Raw genomic sequence first — 18,394 nt, 5'->3', positions numbered from 1 at the left:
ACAGTCTGGAGACAGCTAGGCAGGGAGATGAGCAGCAGAGCTCCAAATCAGGCAACAGCACGTGTGAAAGGAGCAGTGACCTGTGGGGAAACTCATAACTCACAGACCAAACCCCTTCCAGCAGAGGGCAGTGCCTCTGATACGACACAGGGCCCAGGCCAGCTGGAGCCAGAGCTGGGGACTTCGCTGGAGAGATGGCACCGGCCTGAGGTCAAGGAGAAATTGAACTAAACTCTCCTTTGAAGACTGTAAGTGACATTGGGGAATACTCAGGGAGGGACAGTGGGACCTCACACTACTATGATTCGCCTGTGTTCTAATGTCCAACAATTTAGGCTGAGTAATAAATCTCTTTATAGAGTTTGGCCATTTAGGGCTTGTAAGTAAGGGAATTTGGAGTCATTTTTGCTAGGCTGGCCACTGAGTCTCGCAGGTTTCTGGGTACATGCTTGAATTGAAAAGAAAGTGACACACCTAAAATACAGCCTAGACTCCTGGCCCTGGGGCTCTGTGGATCCGACACAAAGTTTACAAATAGAAAGCTAGCAAAGGGAAAGATAGTCGGAAGTAACAATTTTATCTAAAAATAGAAACTTAGAATCTAACACCAGAGTTACTACTTGCTTTTGAATTTCAAAGACTACATAGGATGGCCTTTAAAACAAAACTTCAGCATGTAAGAGCCAGCCAAGCAAATTGTTATACATAATCAACGATTAAAATAAATTAGTCTTTAGGCCTAAACCGTTTCCAATCAAATCTTTCTTGAATATTGGTTACCTTTTCTGCCGTGTAGTGGTTGGAATCAAATGAGAACATAGCTGAGCAGAGTACCATAAAGTCTACTTCTAATGCTGCTGTTTTCGAGCCTTGTGATTTTTTTTTAAGTGACTTTAGTATTCGCTGGTAAAGTCAAGGCGGATCTACCAGACGGTAAAAGTTCTGTGTGTTTGTCAGGCACGGCTAAGTAAAACGCACTGCATCTGAAAGTCTAAGGGTAGTTTGCATGCATCTCTCAGCAAAATAGCAAGTGGAAGAAATACCAGCAAGGAGAATAAACTTTCTGGGCTGTTTGATTTCCCCTGCAACTTCTAGTCCAGGGATGTTTGGCGTTCTCCCGGTCGCTAGATTATTAGCCCGCAGGTTCCGCACCGGCCAGGGAGCCGCTCAAGTCCTAGGGCCGGGCGGCTGGAGGTTGCAGGTCGGAGGGGCTTCTACGGGTTTGGGGGTGGGACGGTCCGCGGCAGCCGCGGGCGGGTAAGGACTGACGTCGCAGGTTTCCAGAGGCCCGTTCCCGAAGCCGGAGTCCCGACCCGAAACCGTCCCCGGCCGGCTCGCTCGCTCAGCAGGGCGCGGCTCCAGCGCCACCCGGCTCGCCCCGAAGAGGTGGGACTTTCCCCACCGGAAGTGATCCCGTCCAGTCTCGGGGAACTGGGGCACCTCAGCCAGTGTGTCAGGGAAACCCTTCCGGGTGTGTGCTTGGTGGGGGTGGGGGTGGGGGTGGGGGTGGGGGTGGGGGGTGGGTGAGAAAAAAAAGAGGTGGGTTCGCCTGGAGTCCCTGCGGCCGCCGCGGAAGGCCCCCGCTTCTTTCCCCGCGGCGAGCAGCAGCGCTGGGGCAGCGGAGAGACAGAGGAGCCAGCGGGTGGCCATGGCCTTGGCGTGACAGAGCCTCCCCGGCGGCCGGGCGGGTGCGGACGGCGGGGTAAGCGGCAGTAGCTTGATCCGGGTGGGAGTTGGGGGAGGCGGCGGCCGGCGCCGCAGGTTCGGGGCGGGGGTCAGCCGGGTAATGTGCGTCCTTCTCCCCTTCACAGGCCGGACGACCCCCGCGGGAGCCGGGGCCCAGAAACCCGCCCGGGCAGCGGTAACTGGAACGGAGCCCTCAGGCCTGAGCCGGCTGGGCTGCGCGAGCAGGAAGCGGGGTCCCTGGGCCCCTTTGTGTGAAGGGCGGGGGAGGAGTGCCGGGCAGCCCCGGGCTGCGGGCTCCTCCGACGTCCGCCTCGCCGCAGGGTCCCCTCGCCGCAGCCCCCACCCTTTCCCTCCCGGGGGCACGCGCCTCCTCGCCACCCTCGCCGGGCTTTTCCCAGGCTCGCCCTCCTCCCCACGCCCCCTGCTCGGGCTGCAGTTCCTATAGGAAGGGCATTACCATCCCTTCCCCACCCTCCCCGACTCTACGCTCTTTCCCCTCCCCCTCCTGTAACTTCCTCTTCTTCCCCGGTTGGGCCCTCTGCTCCTCTGCACTCTCCTCCCCAGTTCGCAGATTTCCGCCCACCTTCCGCCTCGTCTAGCCGCGCCACAGCTAGCGGGGTGATCTTTCCCCCCCTCTGGTAGGAGTTGGTGAAGGTGAGACTCATGAGGGAATACAAGGTAGTGGTGTTAGGGAGTGGAGGGGTTGGCAAATCTGCCCTTACTGTGCAGTTTGTCACTGGGACTTTCATTGAGAAATATGACCCCACCATTGAAGATTTCTACCGCAAAGAGATCGAAGTGGACTCTTCCCCCTCCGTGCTGGAAATTCTGGACACCGCAGGAACTGAGCAGTTTGCCTCCATGAGAGATCTCTACATCAAAAACGGCCAAGGTTTCATCCTGGTTTATAGCCTGGTTAATCAACAGTCTTTTCAGGTAACCAAACCAAGTCTTGTAATTTGTTAGAAGGGGGTGTGGTAATCCGACATCGACTTCTGGGTTGCTTGAACCGTGCATTAATGACTGTGCTTTGCTTTTGAAAGTTAGACATGACGCATTTTTGAGGTTACTCCTGCCATGGAAGACTATCGGGTTGTTTCTATAGAGCGTAGTAAAAAGTAACAAGCGTCAACAAATATTTTAAAGCTATTTTTAAGTGAAAGAAAAGTGAAAAAGAAATGTCAGTCTGTGTATATTTCGCCTGGAATATAACCTTCTGAAGTTGCTTGCTCAATTCAACAAGTATTGATTAACTTACACGACAAAACATCTAACAAATAATCTCGGGTAAATAGAGCACTTTGAAAAAATTATTTGGAGCCGATTATCTGTTGCACAGATAAGTCCTCTGTGTCTGTCCCACCCACACCTTCCCCTCCCACCCCCCAACACCCCCTCCCGCCGCCCTCCCCTTCTCTCTCAAGTTTCTCAACTAGATTCATAAATCTTAGTGTTGCAAGACGAAGAACTCAAGACCTGCCTTCTAGGCATTTTACTTAATTACTTGGGGCGTGTAGTAGGAAGAAAAGTTACTAATAGAAAAGACTAGTACCTAGAATTAATAACCAACAAAAATCAGGAATGACTCTTTTTCTGCAGTTGATCCAAATTGTTTCTGGTAACATTGCCTGTATTTACAGAAAATACGTGGGTCTGGGAACACTGAACAAGTGCAGATTTCTTACTCCGGCTGGGTGGCCAAACTGGATGTGGTCCAATCTCTTAGAAAATCTGTCCTGTCCTTCACTGGGAAACAGACTGAAGGTTTAACGTTATTTTAGGATATGCAATGTATGTTTCTATTTATCCCTTGAAAATGAATAACCTCATATTGACCCATTATATTGACCTCCATTGATTTAGGAAATGGATATATTTTTTCTGCATTTAAAGGTATGCACTTAATGTAGCTTACTTAAGAGACCTTAAGTGCTTTAGCCAATACAATGTGCTAATTCCACTTTCTTTAGTATTTTAAATTAAAGTACTATAGTGAACTTTCCCAGTAACCTGATAGAACAACTTCAGGGATTTTTTTTTTTTAAGATGATAAATTCTGGGGAAATAAATCAAAGCTATTGAGACCAAACTAAATTCATTTTATGTAGGCATAAATTCCCAAACAATAGTATCATAAAAGCATTTTCCCCCAGAAAGTACCAAAGTACTGAAGGTGCTGTTTGACAGGCATTTTTTCCCTAAAGGATCCTCAGGAGATTTGTTATTCTATCAGCTTACTCTCTGGAGGCTGAGAGTCTTTTGAAGGGTGTTTCATAAGATTTCTGTTATATCCATTTGTGTTATAGACATGAATTGGGAGTGAAAAACTGTGCCGTTATTTCAGTGGAGGTGTAAACTCTTTTGAGCCCAAATGCCCTAAGTTTGGATTTTCAGCTGAACTTATGTTTCCATAAAGACAATGGGAAATAAGCGTAACCTAGAAATCTGAGTTGATATATTATCAAACCAAATTGATGCAAATATCAAATAACTATATTTTTATAGATTTTCATAGTCCCTTGCTTTTCCGTAGGCCCACATGTGAATATTCTGTACTTACTATGACTTCCAATTAAGCATACATTTTCTATTTAAGGCAAACTTTTAAAATTATGAAATATTACCGAAAATGGTGATTTTTATAATTAAGTCTATAATATTGTATTAAATCAATACTTGCCCCCACCTCCCAAAACTGATGCTACTGGAGAATTGCTAACGCTCTTATCTTTTGTAATTCGTTGTAACTACTTGGAAAAAGTAATACGCATGGGGAAACAAGTAGTAAAAACAAACACAGGCAAAAAAAAAAAAAATGACTTCTTCCCACCCAGACTCCCCTTGCACTGTCCTTCCCAGGAGTTGCTCACTGTTACAGTAGTTTCTAGTGAATTTAAGTGTATTGTAAGGTGTTTGATTTTACTGGAATAAATGCATACCATTCAATTTAAAATAAAACATTTAAGTGTATCCATCTGGTTGTAACTCTTTTATTCTAGGCATTACAAAGTGGTTTTTTTTCCCACTTAAAACACTTTCACTCAAGCCCTCTTGCTACATGGCTAGGAATGCATAGATGCTGCAATCCTGTGCTAGGATAACAGGTGTTACAAGGAGTGATGACAAGCAGGCAGGTTTAGGGAGATGGCCAAACATCCTTATGTACGAATGGATTAATCATTTGGAAACTTGCTTTTTTAATCAGTATAGACTGGGGGTGGGTAAAAGTGATTATATGAGTCAAGGTTAGTGTGCAACCCATGTTTTATATTCTTGACAAACCCAGCAGGTAGGGTCTCTGGAAATTATCTAGTTCTTACTTCAGTGGACAAAATGATGACGATTTCTCTGTTTAGGTGTGATTTCATTTTGGATTCAGCTTTGTATACTCACTGAGGTATGACTTTTTGTAATACTGTAATATTTCTGTTATGGTTATACAAACAGCATAATGTTTTTCTTTCTCTTTGTGATTGCTTGAATAGGATATCAAGCCAATGAGAGATCAAATTGTCAGAGTGAAGAGATATGAAAAAGTCCCACTAATCCTAGTAGGAAATAAAGTGGATCTGGAACCAGAAAGAGAGGTTATGTCTTCAGAAGGCAGAGCTCTGGCTCAAGAATGGGGCTGTCCTTTCATGGAGACATCGGCAAAAAGTAAATCAATGGTGGATGAACTTTTTGCTGAGATCGTCAGGCAAATGAACTATTCATCCCTGCCGGAGAAGCAAGATCAGTGTTGTACAACTTGTGTCGTCCAGTAAAGAAGATAACCTCAATCATGGCCATACCGAGCAGGTTAGTTTTTGATGGAACTGTATGAATCAGGTAGTGTTTTGTTTTTTGATCAAGTAAAACAAAAAGCTGGTTAGTGTTAATACATATGGCACTGCCTTAAATTTCTTTATTTTTAAAATAACATTTTCCATCACACAAAATAGTCAACATTCAATGAAGAAAATTTTTTTAAATGCAGATAAGCAAAGCGGAGATAAGAAATTGCTTATATTCCCATCACCAGGATTTTAAGTGAGTTATTGTTCTTCCTTCTCTGCTTTATTGGTAATATTTCTTTGGGTTGAGTTAAACCATAATACACTTTTTCCCTGTTCTTCTGATTTAGCATCCAGAATGCACAGGAGAGCACTGAGTAATAATTTCAGAAGTTTTGTGGTATTTTCTGTACTTTTATGTTTTTATGTCCTGAGCAAGCAAATTGCTGCAATTAAAATCACCAATTTACTAATCACCAAGTGCTTGATTAACAGTACAATTATTTAAGCAAATTCATCTGTACCTAACACTTGAGGGACTTAAGTGACCTCTGATAATAACAAATTATAGTGCCACAGTGTACCCTGACTTCATTATAAATATACGGTCCAAAAGATAATCTAGTTGAATTATCTGTGATGTGTTAGAAGGAACAGTTTCATGCATAAAAAAATTTATTCAATTTAATAAATTATGAGATTAATAGGAACAGTAACAAACCTTCAGGCCTTTCACTGAGTTAAATGATAACTTACAAGTTTTTTTTAATGAATGAGTTTTTTTTTAAAACTCATACTTTTTTAAAAGTAAGATTATGTAAAACTTACGAAGCATTTAAAACAAGATTATTTATGCCATGATCTTTTAGTCTAGATTGTAATTGAGCAAATAGTCTCACTTAGACAGTAACACTTAGATAATAAGATAAAACAACCAATATTGTGAATGACTGAGAAACCGCAGCAAATGCCAGACTAGCCTGACAGTATCAGGAATGAAATTGATCTTCCTGAGCCAAGGCTGACCTCGAGTCTAGGAGGCAGTGTTGCAAATGGCAACAGGCATTTCAGATTGGAGCAATGATTCCTAATCAAGGGTCTGGCTTTGTGTATGCTCCCCGGAGAAAAGACTAACGGTCCCTAATTTATCTTTTCAGACAAGGTCTCCTGTCAGATAGTGTCATCTTTGAAAATGAAGGATGACAACAATGCTTTATTTAAAATGCTTTCACTCATCAGCCTTTAGCATACCAGAATATGATGAAAACTCATTTATTTTCTTATGTCTAGCTACATCTATTATTTTATAAAGTCACTTTTCAGACCATAGTCCAGCTTGTGTTTGGTTGATAGCATTGTACTTGCAGTATAGTCTTTTGAGGAGGGGAGAGGCTTATGGATCAAGTCCCATATTCTTGCTGCTGTAATCTCTCTCCTTAAATTGTAAGCCAGCTTCACAATTGAACAAGTTCTGTGTGGTGATTGTGTCTTTACTGTTTTGCTCTATTTTTCTACCTGACACTTACTGGGCAGATAACGTAAGTGTCTATACACATTTTGTGTTAGTTTTATCATCTTTTTAAAAATTAACCAACTCCCACGAAATGTTCCCAGTTTTCCTTCCATCATTAGTGTAGACAGCTATAGGAGGTTAACTGAATAAAATTGGTCTCATACATGTAGAGAGCCAGCTCTCTCAGCCAAATTGGCAGGTGAATAATTTCTAAAGCTATTTTTGAACCTCTTCTTCTGAATCATTTCTGAGTTTATTTCATTTGGTAACTTTTTGTGATCTGAATTATTTTTAACCTATTTAGTTACCTACAGGAATGAGTACATAGATTTTTTTTAGTATCTCAAGCCAACTATATTTGTATTTTTTGTTAATTAACATACTAAAAATGGAAATTATTAATACCTATATTCATTTTTATAGTAGTGGGTCAAGTTCTCTGTGTAGGTTTTTGTTTGTTTTTGTAAGCAGAATATATAAATGAAGATATTAGCCTTGAAATAAAATATCCAATAAACTGAATTTCTAAAAATATTAAGGGGAACTCCCTGACCAAGATCTTTTAGAACAAAGTGCACTATATGCAGGTTTTTTTTTTTTCTGACATCAAATAAAATTGAACTGATTCCCATATATGGGAATCTCTAATCTGAGGCTAGTAAAATTTGTGGTTGTCCTTGCTCACCATTTACCTAAGAAGAGAAGAAAATAGATGGTGGATTTTGAATCCTATAGCTTGAGTCATGGAGCTTTGAAATCTGTCAGACCCAGATCTAAATTGAATATCAAACTTTGACAGGTAAAGTTGATTTGAGAAATGTTTGTCGCTAATATTTAGAAGAGTACCTTGTCCAAGTTAGAAATAATAGGATGTAAATCAGAAACACTGTTATTGTTGTTAATTGGTTGTTTTTAACTGAGAGGGAAAATTTATTAATGCTCTAAGAATTGCTTCTGATAATTCCTCACATTTATGTCTTAACATCTTTCAATTTGGGTCACAGGCCTCGTGCCTAACACCTGTTTATCTGCGTGGCTCCCAGGATTGTTTCCTCACCTTTTACCCTCCCATTGGCAGTAACTTTAGTGTAAGTTTGGAAGCATAACCAGATTCCTTATACGCTGCCATCATCCTGATTTCTTTACTGATCTGAGGAGCGTATGATCAAGTGCTTTGAAGGGACTTCTTTTGCTGTATGGCAGCAGTATAATGGAAACCCGGGTCAGCATTGTCACCCTGTTCTGGTTTCATTCACTATATCATAGCTCTTCTGTGCTGGTATAAATTATTGGCAGTTCACTGTTTGGGTATATTTTTGTTGAGAAGGATTGATGTTTTGTTAATAATCTCATAGTACTATAAAAGAAGTAAATCACTGTCCTGTGGGAGTTCAGGGAAAGGAGAGACCACAACCAACTGGAACAGAGTTTCTTAACATTCTGGGATCTTTGCTGTTTGGGGCTGTCCTGTGCATTGTCAGATGTTTAACAGCATCCCTAGCTTTTACCCACTAGATGACAGTAGCATCTTCCTCATCCCCCATTATGACAAGAATATCTCCAGAAATTGCCAAATGCCCCCTGGGGACAAAAATTGCCCTTGGTTAAGCGCCACCGAGTTAGAGATATTGGGAGCAATAGCATTTGAATCAGGCTTTGAAGATGGATAGGACTTGAGGGGACTGGTGGTAGGGGTGGGGGGTGTCAGTGTTGACCTTCAAACAGAAAGAATGCCAAGAAGGAGCATAATCATATCCTAAAATATTCTGTTGATTCCCTAATAGTAAGGGGGAAGTGCAGTAAAGGTGTCTCTTAAATGTGACAGTTTGATATATCCTTTTGGCAAATAGAATATTTTAAAGATGATTTTTCAAGGATTCCTTTATGTCAGTCCAGTATTGATGAAAGTGATAAAGAAAGAAAATGGGGGAAAAGGTGTTATTCACTGTGGTTTGAAGGTCTCCTGTAAGATTTTATACCATTTTTCTCAGTGTACTGTGGAACAGGTTCTCCCAACTAGAGTAAATGGTGCATAAGAGTACCAAACACAGGGAAGCAAACTGAAAGGACAAAGATCATTATTTATGTCAGCCCCAGTTCATTATATATTTCAGCCTGAAGAAAAAGGGAGATTCTTGGTTCAAGACTAGCACGTCATTTTACATGGCAGCAGAATGCCTGGGATGCTAACAAAGGCTACTGAAAGACTAAACTCTATTTGAACATCATTTTAGTCTAGCTAGACTTACTATTCCTAAATACAGTGGAATTGATAAACATTTTCAGGGTTTTTTAAAATAAAATATAGAATCAGAATGGTTTTTAATTTTTTTAACTTTTAATTTTAGTTTTTAATTTTTATGGTATGCTGGGGGTTTAGCAAATGTGAGGAGAAAAATCCTCAAATCACATCACATACTTAAAATTTCCTATACAAGGTAAATATTAATAATATCAGTAAAATGCTGGGGTGGAATTCTGTTGTAGAAGTTATAGTTTTGTTAGATAGTTCTTTTTTTCCCACTGCTCTATTTGCATATCACTTTGAATGGGGAAAATGGCTTATTTAAAATGCTCATCTGTCATCCAGTTCACATGGTGAGTCAAAGTGGAGCAGAGGAGTTGAATGGAAGAAGAAGCATGCTTTGGGGGTGGTATGTACCATAAAGGCCCTCAGCGAACCTTGGGTAAAAGGGAAAAACAAAACCACCTTGCCCTTTCTACTACTCCTAATTCTCCCAGACCTTCACTGAATTCATAGGGTTGGTTCATGGTTTGAGACTTGAGAGTGGACAGGTGCCTAGTTAGACCTGCTCTGGATGTGGAGGTGTCTGGTGATTAGAATGACTCTTTGTATATCTGTTCCCTCTTTAATTGCTTCCTTTTAACCTCAAGATTAGGCTTTTATTGCATAATAAAATGCATATGAGCCATTCAGTTTTACTCCATTACCTCTCTGGCTTAGAATGAACTATCAGTAGAATTAACAAAAATTGCATCATAGAGTTGGAGAATTGCCACCAAGGAAGTGTTCTAGCCATACTACAGAAAAGATTCTCCCCATGGGATTACTTCTCAGTAGAATTCTACAATTCAGAAGATAATATCAGTAAGAAAAACTTAAGTCCTGTCAGCTGTTAGAAAAACATATCCAATCAAAAACATACTCCCAAGTAGTTTTAATTAGCCAATCTTAGAAACATCAAATTCAGAAAAAGCAATTTAGAGTTGAGGGGAGTACTAACTTATCTGGTCTAATTCAAAGCTAGCAGCTGGAATTGTATCATTGGGCTCACACTGTTGTTTATTATCACTGGACTTGGTTATAATATGTGAGATCTCAGAATTGAACTAATCATATTAATTTAAACATTCAGAGATTTTAGGTCTAGTACATAAGAAATATAGCTAATCCCATCCCTTCTACCCTGGGTTCACTATAAACATTTAGTGAGCTTGCTTTCCTTCATGTGTGATTCCACCTCCATTCAAGGATTCTATGCCATAGGTTCCGCTTTTGCTCTCTGTGTTTAATGGGTGACAGTGAACACGTTTAAAGATCTAGTCCTCCCACTCCAACCCTAGTAAGCTTCATGAGTATTATGCACATTAGGATAGAGAAACAAAACAAAAGATATTTAACAAAAACATAACCTGTATCAGAGGAATTCCAGCCTGAGGCCAGATGCAGTGGCTCATACCTGTCATCCCAGCACTTTGGGAAGCCGAGGTGGAAGGATCACTTGAGGCCAGGAGTTCGAGACCAGCCTGGGCTATGTAATGAGACCCCGACTCTACAAAAAATAAAAATAAAAAACTTAGCTGGGTATGGTGGTGTGTGCCTGTAGTACTAGCGGTTCAAGAGGCTGGGGTAGGAGGATCCCCTGAGCCCAGGAATTCCAGGTTGCAGTAAGCCACAATTGCACTACTGCACTCCAGCCTGGATGACAGAGCAAGATCCTGTCTCTGAAATTAAAATTATTATTAAAATAATAATTTTAATGTTTTATTAAAATTATTAAAATAATTTAATGTTTTATTAAAATTATTACTAAAATAATTTAATGTTTTATTAAAATAGCACTTTTGATGATTTATTAACATCATTATTAAAATAACAATTTATTAAAATTATAATTGCAGCCTGATGTTTTGCTAATACAACTAACTTTTAACTTGTAAATAAAATGCTAATTAAATATGAAAGGAAATTCATTTTCAAAAAAAGTATTTTGGTTAAATCCCAAGAATATCATATCCCTAAAACTAGAAAAAAATTAAAAGTGATTATGATTACACACTAGTATTTGTGAGAGAGAGAGAGAGACAATGCTAGTAAATACCATTGTATTTAGATAAGGTAAGTCCAGTTAAGCTAAAAAGACATTCATAAACTGCTAAGCCTTTCAGGAGCCTTTGTTAACATACCAGGCATTCTGCTGCCATGTGAAATGATGTGCTAGTCTTGAATCAAGAATCCCCTTTTTTTCTTCAGGCTGACATAAATAATGATCTTTGTTCCTTTTGTTCTGTGTTTGGTACTCTCGTATACCAATTTACCCGACTTGGGAGACCCTATTTATTTCATAATTTCCTGAGCAAAAGCTTTGGATTAGTGTGTGTGTGTGTGGTTTTTTTTTTGTACTTTCCTATAATATTGCATTAGTAAAAAGCTAAAAAGTAAAACCAAACAATTAAGTAAGAGTTTGAATAGAAGCTTCCAGAGATAAGATTTGTTGAGTGTCTTGCTGGAAACTTGAGAGTGAGGTCGAGGATAACTTGTGTTCTATCTTGAAAGCTGCAAGTTATACATTTGCAACGTGCTTGAATGTGATATCCTGCAAGTTAAAAAGTACTGATTTGACCAGCTGCTTTTAAACCTTCAGCGATTTATTTTTACGTAAATGAAAGTGTTAGTATATTGAAAATTTTGCTGTCACTGGGGAGCAAGAACATTTACACTTGAAATTCTAACCTGAAAGAGACTGTTGTTTTTGTTTAATGCAAGCATTTTACTTCAGGATTTATTACTGCAGATAATTATAATTTATTACTCTCTTGAAAAGTAGCTAGTATTAATACTTTGTTTGCTTAAAGGTATGCCTAATGTTAATATTGTAGAGCCTAACTCAGGATTTATCTATATCTCTTGATTTCACAGGAGTATTGTCATCCTGTGGATGTGGATAGACCAAATGTTACCCAGGTTTTTAGAGGGTAGGAGGTGATTAATATATCATGTTTTATTCCATATAGATTATGGTTAGTAAAATGATTTGATTATTAATATTTATTTTGGCTAGAAATAAATAATAACTACTTTCTCAATTTGATTTTAGAGAATGCTTGAAGAGGTCTTTAATATTTAAGAGAAATAATTATTTTTGAAAATCCCAACCTCTTTATAATTGTTTGATTTAAAAAAGGAAATGAAAATTTATAGCAAATTCATTAATTCAAACTAATTGAAGGAAGTCTTTCTAAATTACTAAAAAGTATTCATAATGAATAATTTTTATTCATAATACTGCATATATAATGAAATACTGTTGTGTTCAAGTAGGTATAGAAATTCCAGCTAGGCTAAAAAATATAAAGCTCCTTAGTCTGGATATCAAAATTACAATCCTGGTAGTCTAGAAATTTATAACATAGTTGGAAATGGAAAACAAATTTACAACAACCCTGTGAAGAAAGTATTTTTATCCCTTTTTCGATGATGAGGAAACCGGACTTGCCAAAGCTTAAATAACTGGTGTCCTAATTAACAATTTAATGCAAAATGTCTTTTAATTGGAAGAATGTTTCTATAATAATTTCTAAAGAGGCAGACTTTTGTTCTATTTTTTCCTAATGTGTTTAGGTAGCAGAATTTCAATAATGAGCAGAGTGATGTTCTTTAATAGTAATCATTTTTATGATATAGCTGCTAATAAAGCATTATCTCAGGCTCTTTGAGCACTAATAGAAGTGTAGCTGTCAAATGAAATTAAAATTATGCATTTATAAACATTGGTAGAGCCCTTAAATGATTATAAACTGGTTTCCCTTGGCATTCTTTCATAGTTGCTGTTCTACTTTTGTTTCTGGCTTTATGATAACATTTTTTATCTCATGCGTTCAAAAACAAACATAACTCTATTCCCCTAGAAGCTATTTGGTGATTCAGCACAGTTGAAGGACGCTCTATCTGTCTGAACGATAGATTTTTTTTCCCTAGTATTAGCTGGAAGGGCAGAAATCTGTACGCTATAAGAGCAGGGAATGAGGAATCCCAGTCATAAAAGAAGATCCCGTGGTTGGGAGGACATCCCCAAAAAAGGGCAGACCCAAGTGGAAAATGTGAACTGCTGCTATCACCTAGCATCTGACCTTACCTAGGCACCTAGTAGGTGCTCAATATCTAGACCTTGATTGAATTTCCTTCCTTCCTTCCTCCCTCCCTCCCTCTTTCTTCTCTTTTCTTTTTTCTTTTCCTTTCTTTTCTTTTTTCTTTCTGCAGTCCTCCCACCTTGGCCTCCTAGAGTGCTGGGATTACAGACATGAACCACTGTGCCCGGCCTGAATGACGTTTTCTTATTTTAATCTCTCAAAAAACTAAATTTAGGAAAAGTCTAACATACTGCCAATTAACTCATAATTAACATGCATTTGATAACAATACCATTTCCAGTTAAAATGTGAAGAGATCAAGTTCAAAGTAGAAGCAGCATTTGCAACAACTTTTATACTGTAAGATCATTTAAACCAGTAAGGACATTTTTAATATTGCATAAGTATAATACAAGTACAAGGCATAATAATATTATAGAAATAAGCTAGAATAGCTACACACACGCACACACACGCACACACAAAGTACATTATATCCAATGCATCACTTCTGTGTTTCTATTTTTTTTTAATGACTTATCAGGACGAGGGAAAATTAACTTTCTACTTTAACTGAAGTTTGTTATTCTTGTTACCACTTCTCTGTGTATATAGATCTGTTGTCAGTGTTCTCTTTTTAAACTATGTATTTCTACATTTTTATGACATGTTTATCTTAATTGCAGATAAAACTCAGAGGAAATTTGCACAGATGCTGCTTTGGAGAACTTTACAACCTGGGTTGCAGAACTGAGCCTTGGTAAACCTGTCTCTATTACAGCATGTTGCCATACATCTATTTAAGTGCATAAGGTCTTTGGCCTTCAAGATCCATCGACCTTAAACAGGAATGCTTAGCACGTTTACCATACGTTTAAAATCCATTCTTTATCAATCAGTCCTTTTATAGCTTTCTAAGTTCTTATTGATGGCTAATATACAAGGGTTAATTTTTAATATTTTAATTGATTTCTTTAATCAGTTTCTCGACTTGTATTTATTAAATACTCAAACTCAGTATTACCTACTCAATGCCTTTTAAAAGAAAGTTATAATGGAGAAAAAATTGAGCCTTAAACAAATGGTTACTTCTGTATATTACCTCGTACCAGTGCTTCATCCTATTTGTAAAATCTTTCTCCTTTAAAATTATTGGTTAATACTTTGAGACTTTGTTTACGTGTGGCAGTGTTGTAAAAAGAAACTAAAGATCACATTTTACCTGTATGGATGGAATATCCCTTTTCTTCAAGTGCAGTTTGTGATGTGTTTTGTTTTTTTTTTTTTTTTTTTGTAATTAACATGTTCTGAAGGTTACAATTGATATTTGAAATTGACTGTAGAGCATTTAGTTGAAGAGTTAAGCATTCAGTTCCATTAGGTTTTCACATGTGTTAATCTCATTTACAGCATTGAATTGCGGCAGTAACATTTTCCTTTCTGTGAAGTTCTAAATTTAGTTATGACCTATTTAGCAATGCCTTTGAAAAGGGATATTGTATCCATGGTAAATTAATTGTATACCTAAACAGAGATAGCTCATCTTTGCCTATCAGGCTTGTAATTGACATCTAGTAGACTTCTGCACATGTAAAATTGAATTCAAATAAAATCATACACACTTTCTAGTTCTTAATATTTGTCTTTCTGAATAATAGTTTAAAGCAATATTTGTTAAAGTTTTCTTGCACTATCACAATTGCTTTTTAGTTATTTCTCAAGAAGCATGTTCGTATTAGAGACAAAATCTGTGTAACAGGAGGGAGAATAGCGCCAAGTCTCTGGGCTATTTTTTATTTTTGCAAATGTGCTTTCTAATAGCCATTGCCTTCCATGTTGTTTACCTAATCAGCATATTTTTGTCTGAATACTTGAACATTTTAACAGTAACGCAGGTGTAGAATCAGAAAGGAAACTTATGCAGAGTAATATTTTGGTTCAGTTTTAACATCGTGACAATGAGGGCTTTTTCTAGCAATGATTTTTAAATTGTGTAAGTTTGACAGTATTTTATTGTTGGGTTTTTATTTGATTTTAGTTGTGTGCTTTTCATTTGCAGAAGTTAGTAACTGCAGCTCACCTACTGCACCAAAGTTCTCGATTTTAGGAGCCCAGCTTTAGTCATTTGAACATGCTTCTAAATAAAATAAAACAAAACCAAAACTATACTTTTGATCTATAATAAGAGCTCAATAACTTTGTCAAGGAAAGCTCTAATATATGCAGTGATGGTTTATGAAAGGGTGTGGCAATTTTAAATTTATATTGTGTGTGATGTTCAAATAAAGTGGTATCTACATTCATGTGATTTATGGGTCAGCATGACCATTAATTACTGAGTAGAAATTGACTAAACTTTGATTTCCTTTTTTTAAATCGTGTTGCATTTGATTCCTGAGCAAATTCCCTCAAAGTGAACTCTTGTTCTTAAATTTTGAATTTTATGGTGAGATTGTAAAGATAGAGGCAATTGAAACATTGTTCCTTATTTATGAACTGCTTGAAGTGAATACTTAATTTAAGTTTGCACTTTAATACCAAACTTAAAACCAAACACTCATTTAAAAGTAGGTTAAGTGATCATGGATCATTGTTATTAGCTTTGTGGCTTTGTGAAATTCTAAAGGAATCAAATAATTCATCATGATTTAAATTTTCTAGAGATTTTGATTTTTTTATAATGTTTCTTTCCTGTAGATTGTGTTCTTGTTTCTCTCTCTCTCTCTCTCTCTCTCTCTCTCTCTCTCTCTCTCTCTCTCTCTCTCTCAAAATTACAGTGTTCATTGTCATTGACCTCAGCAGCAAATTTGACTTGAATTCACTTAGGATCGCAGGAATCAGGGGAAAGTGATTTTAAAGGTGGTTTCTCCAGCACATTTTAAGAAAAGGGACCAAAAGTTATTTTAGCTTCCTCAATAGATTGCATGTTGCTTATTAGGATAATAAATTAATATTAAATGCAATATATGTCTTGTCTTTATTATGGCATCTATTTAGGAGTTGTTCAAATCACTGCAGTAGGGCTCTGCAAATAAAATAATGTAACCTATTATCATGGATCTAATGTACTGTAACTTTATCAGTGAAAGGTAAAATCTCAAATAACAAGTACAAACATTGAACAATTACCTATAAAGATTTGTAAAAGTAAAATTTTTCCAATAGATTTCATTCTTGTCATTTTGTAAGACGACCCTGCAGTCCACCTGTTTGTAACTTTTTTAATAAAATAGACATCTGTATTACTGAGGTTGGTTTCTTTAATTATTTGGTGTATTGCTTCATGTTCTGGATTTGCTAACTTATAAATCTTTCTCAAAACTGAAAATCATTACTTTTTATCAAAATGATCATGTGTATTGCAGTACATGTTTAAACAAAGTTAAACATTCATTCGCCTGTTTCCTTAGTTACCATTCTGGCATATTTTGGGGGAAAACTGAGAATGATATAGAAATTATATATTATATATTATAGAAATTATAGACAATGGCTGAAAATGAATGATATGTATAACCTGATCTACATGCAGAAAGTGGCCAAATGACAAATTTGTTCACTGGGAATTGTCCATGTATAAAATATTTCAGACAATATATTTTTTTGGAGGCAATCTTGCTCTGTCACTCAGGCTGGAGTGCAGTGGCACAATCATAGCTCACTTCAACCTCGAACTTCTAGGATCAAGTGATCCTCCTGCCCCAGCCTCTTGAGAAACTGGGACTACAGAGGCTTGCCACCACGCCCAGCTAATTTTTCCATTTTTTTGTAGAGATTGGGGGGGTCTCACTATGTTGCCCAGGCTGGCCTCAAACTCCTGGGGTTAAACAACCCTCCTGCCTTGGCCTCCCAAAGTGCTTGGATTACAGGGGTGAGCCACCATGCCCAGCCCAGATTTCAGACAATATTAAGCAATACAATTAAATTTTGAAATATTAAATTAAATATGACACAATTATTTTGTTTTATCCAGTGAAACATTTTGACAATCACTTTAATTTGCTGCCCAATTCAATATTTTTTTAAATTGTTGAATAGATTTTTTAACCTCAATTTTTAAAAATCATTATCAATCTTTTATTTGAAGTTGGACAGTTCTGTCTATCCAAATGTACATGGACTGCATTTTAAAAATATTTGTAAATGAATGGGTAGTTTTATATACCTGTATCATATAGAAAATATCTTATTGTTTATTACCATCAATTATTGGCCTTCAGATGGGCTCCAGACACTCCATATATGCTGCCTTAGATGCTGTCCTTGCAGTCAATACATAACTTTTTTCTACAATGAAGGCACTCAGGATTTCAGGGCCTTCCACCTTTTTTCCACTAAAGGAGTGGTATCCCTTCATCCAGCAAGGTCAACGTGTTTAACCAAGTGAGTAACGATGAGAGGACAGAGGAAGGTAAGAGCTAAGGGAAACTAGCCTGACGAGCCAAATCAGCATTGAGTATCAGTAAGGGACTCTGTCACAGCCAGACTACCTTTATCTCCTCCACATTGTCCTCTTCATGCCATTCTTATCCTGGGAAAAGATTCACCTAGTCTTAACACTTTTCCAGGTTATAGCCTCTTGGGGTCAAGCTTCAAGGCTATAAGATTTCTCATTTAGATTTAAAGCAGAGACAATTTTTTGGTTAAACTTCAGCTTGTACACATATTAATCTCATTTGAACTTTACTGCTAGCTGGTGTTTTGGAGTTTATCGTTCCCATTTTATAGTTGATGAAACCAAGGCTCAGGAAAGTTGTGCCTTAAGTTCGTAAAGGTAAGGTCAAATGATTAAAATGTTGAGAAAGTTTCTTTTGGAGAAGTTTTCAAATAAATATATCATTGGGTAGAGTCAGATGGGTACTATTAAAATTATAAAGCTTATGGAAACAAGATAAAAGCAAGAAATAACTATTTTAAGTCAGTGTGATGGTCCATATGTAACAAAATACTAGCGTCCTTTTCAAAGGTAATGTGTGTGTTATATTACTAAAGTTTATGTAAGTCATAAGCTATTTTCATTATAGCTATTTTTCTTTGGAAAGGCAATGTC

At 37.7% G+C, this 18,394-nt stretch overlaps 1 protein-coding gene and 1 long non-coding RNA gene across 10 annotated transcripts in view, besides 3 other annotated features; one reads left to right on the top strand and one right to left on the bottom strand.

Annotated features, from left to right (window-relative positions):
* The window catches only part of RAP2C-AS1 (RAP2C antisense RNA 1), a 214,305-nt gene extending 213,194 nt beyond the window's left edge, over nt 1-1,111 (bottom strand). Inside the window, exon 1 of the long non-coding RNA NR_110410.1 lies at nt 781-1,111. This is a non-coding gene — a long non-coding RNA (RAP2C antisense RNA 1). The remainder of the gene's footprint in view (nt 1-780) is intronic.
* Nucleotides 171-16,593, top strand: RAP2C (RAP2C, member of RAS oncogene family). Of its 9 annotated transcripts, none has more exons than NR_073150.2 (7): nt 171-248; nt 1,285-1,386; nt 2,251-2,340; nt 2,462-2,622; nt 5,043-5,083; nt 5,172-5,484; nt 14,031-16,593. NR_073150.2 is itself a non-coding variant. In XM_006724775.3 (7 exons), exons 5-6 carry the CDS (start codon nt 2,548-2,550, stop codon nt 5,448-5,450), a joined length of 354 nt encoding a protein of 117 aa, XP_006724838.1. In that variant the 5' UTR covers nt 171-248; nt 1,277-1,471; nt 1,606-1,702; nt 1,812-2,340; nt 2,462-2,547; the 3' UTR covers nt 5,451-5,484; nt 14,031-16,593. The 9 variants fall into 9 exon arrangements, 7 of the variants coding, with proteins under 7 accessions (XP_006724838.1, NP_001258116.1, XP_011529678.1 ...); XM_006724775.3 differs by lacking the exon at nt 5,043-5,083 and adding an exon at nt 1,606-1,702 and having other exon boundaries at nt 1,277-1,471; nt 1,812-2,340; NM_001271187.2 differs by lacking the exon at nt 5,043-5,083.
* Nucleotides 180-249: an enhancer, noted in NCBI's record as "active region_29971". NCBI's record gives its function as "activates an Ori minimal core promoter by ATAC-STARR-seq in GM12878 lymphoblastoid cells {active_cell/tissue: GM12878}" and the evidence as "EXISTENCE:reporter gene assay evidence [ECO:0000049][PMID:35858748]".
* Nucleotides 1,682-1,731: a silencer, noted in NCBI's record as "silent region_21006". NCBI's record gives its function as "represses an Ori minimal core promoter by ATAC-STARR-seq in GM12878 lymphoblastoid cells {active_cell/tissue: GM12878}" and the evidence as "EXISTENCE:reporter gene assay evidence [ECO:0000049][PMID:35858748]".
* Nucleotides 1,742-2,181: a silencer, noted in NCBI's record as "silent region_21005". NCBI's record gives its function as "represses an Ori minimal core promoter by ATAC-STARR-seq in GM12878 lymphoblastoid cells {active_cell/tissue: GM12878}" and the evidence as "EXISTENCE:reporter gene assay evidence [ECO:0000049][PMID:35858748]".
* Nucleotides 16,594-18,394: the final 1,801 nt, after the last annotated feature.

The sequence above is a fragment of the Homo sapiens genome, chromosome X, assembly GCF_000001405.40.
Source record: "Homo sapiens chromosome X, GRCh38.p14 Primary Assembly".
Taxonomy (NCBI): Eukaryota; Metazoa; Chordata; class Mammalia; order Primates; family Hominidae; genus Homo; species Homo sapiens.
The sequence above is the reverse complement of the archived record's forward strand: the minus strand, read 5'-3'. Positions and strand labels throughout refer to the sequence as shown.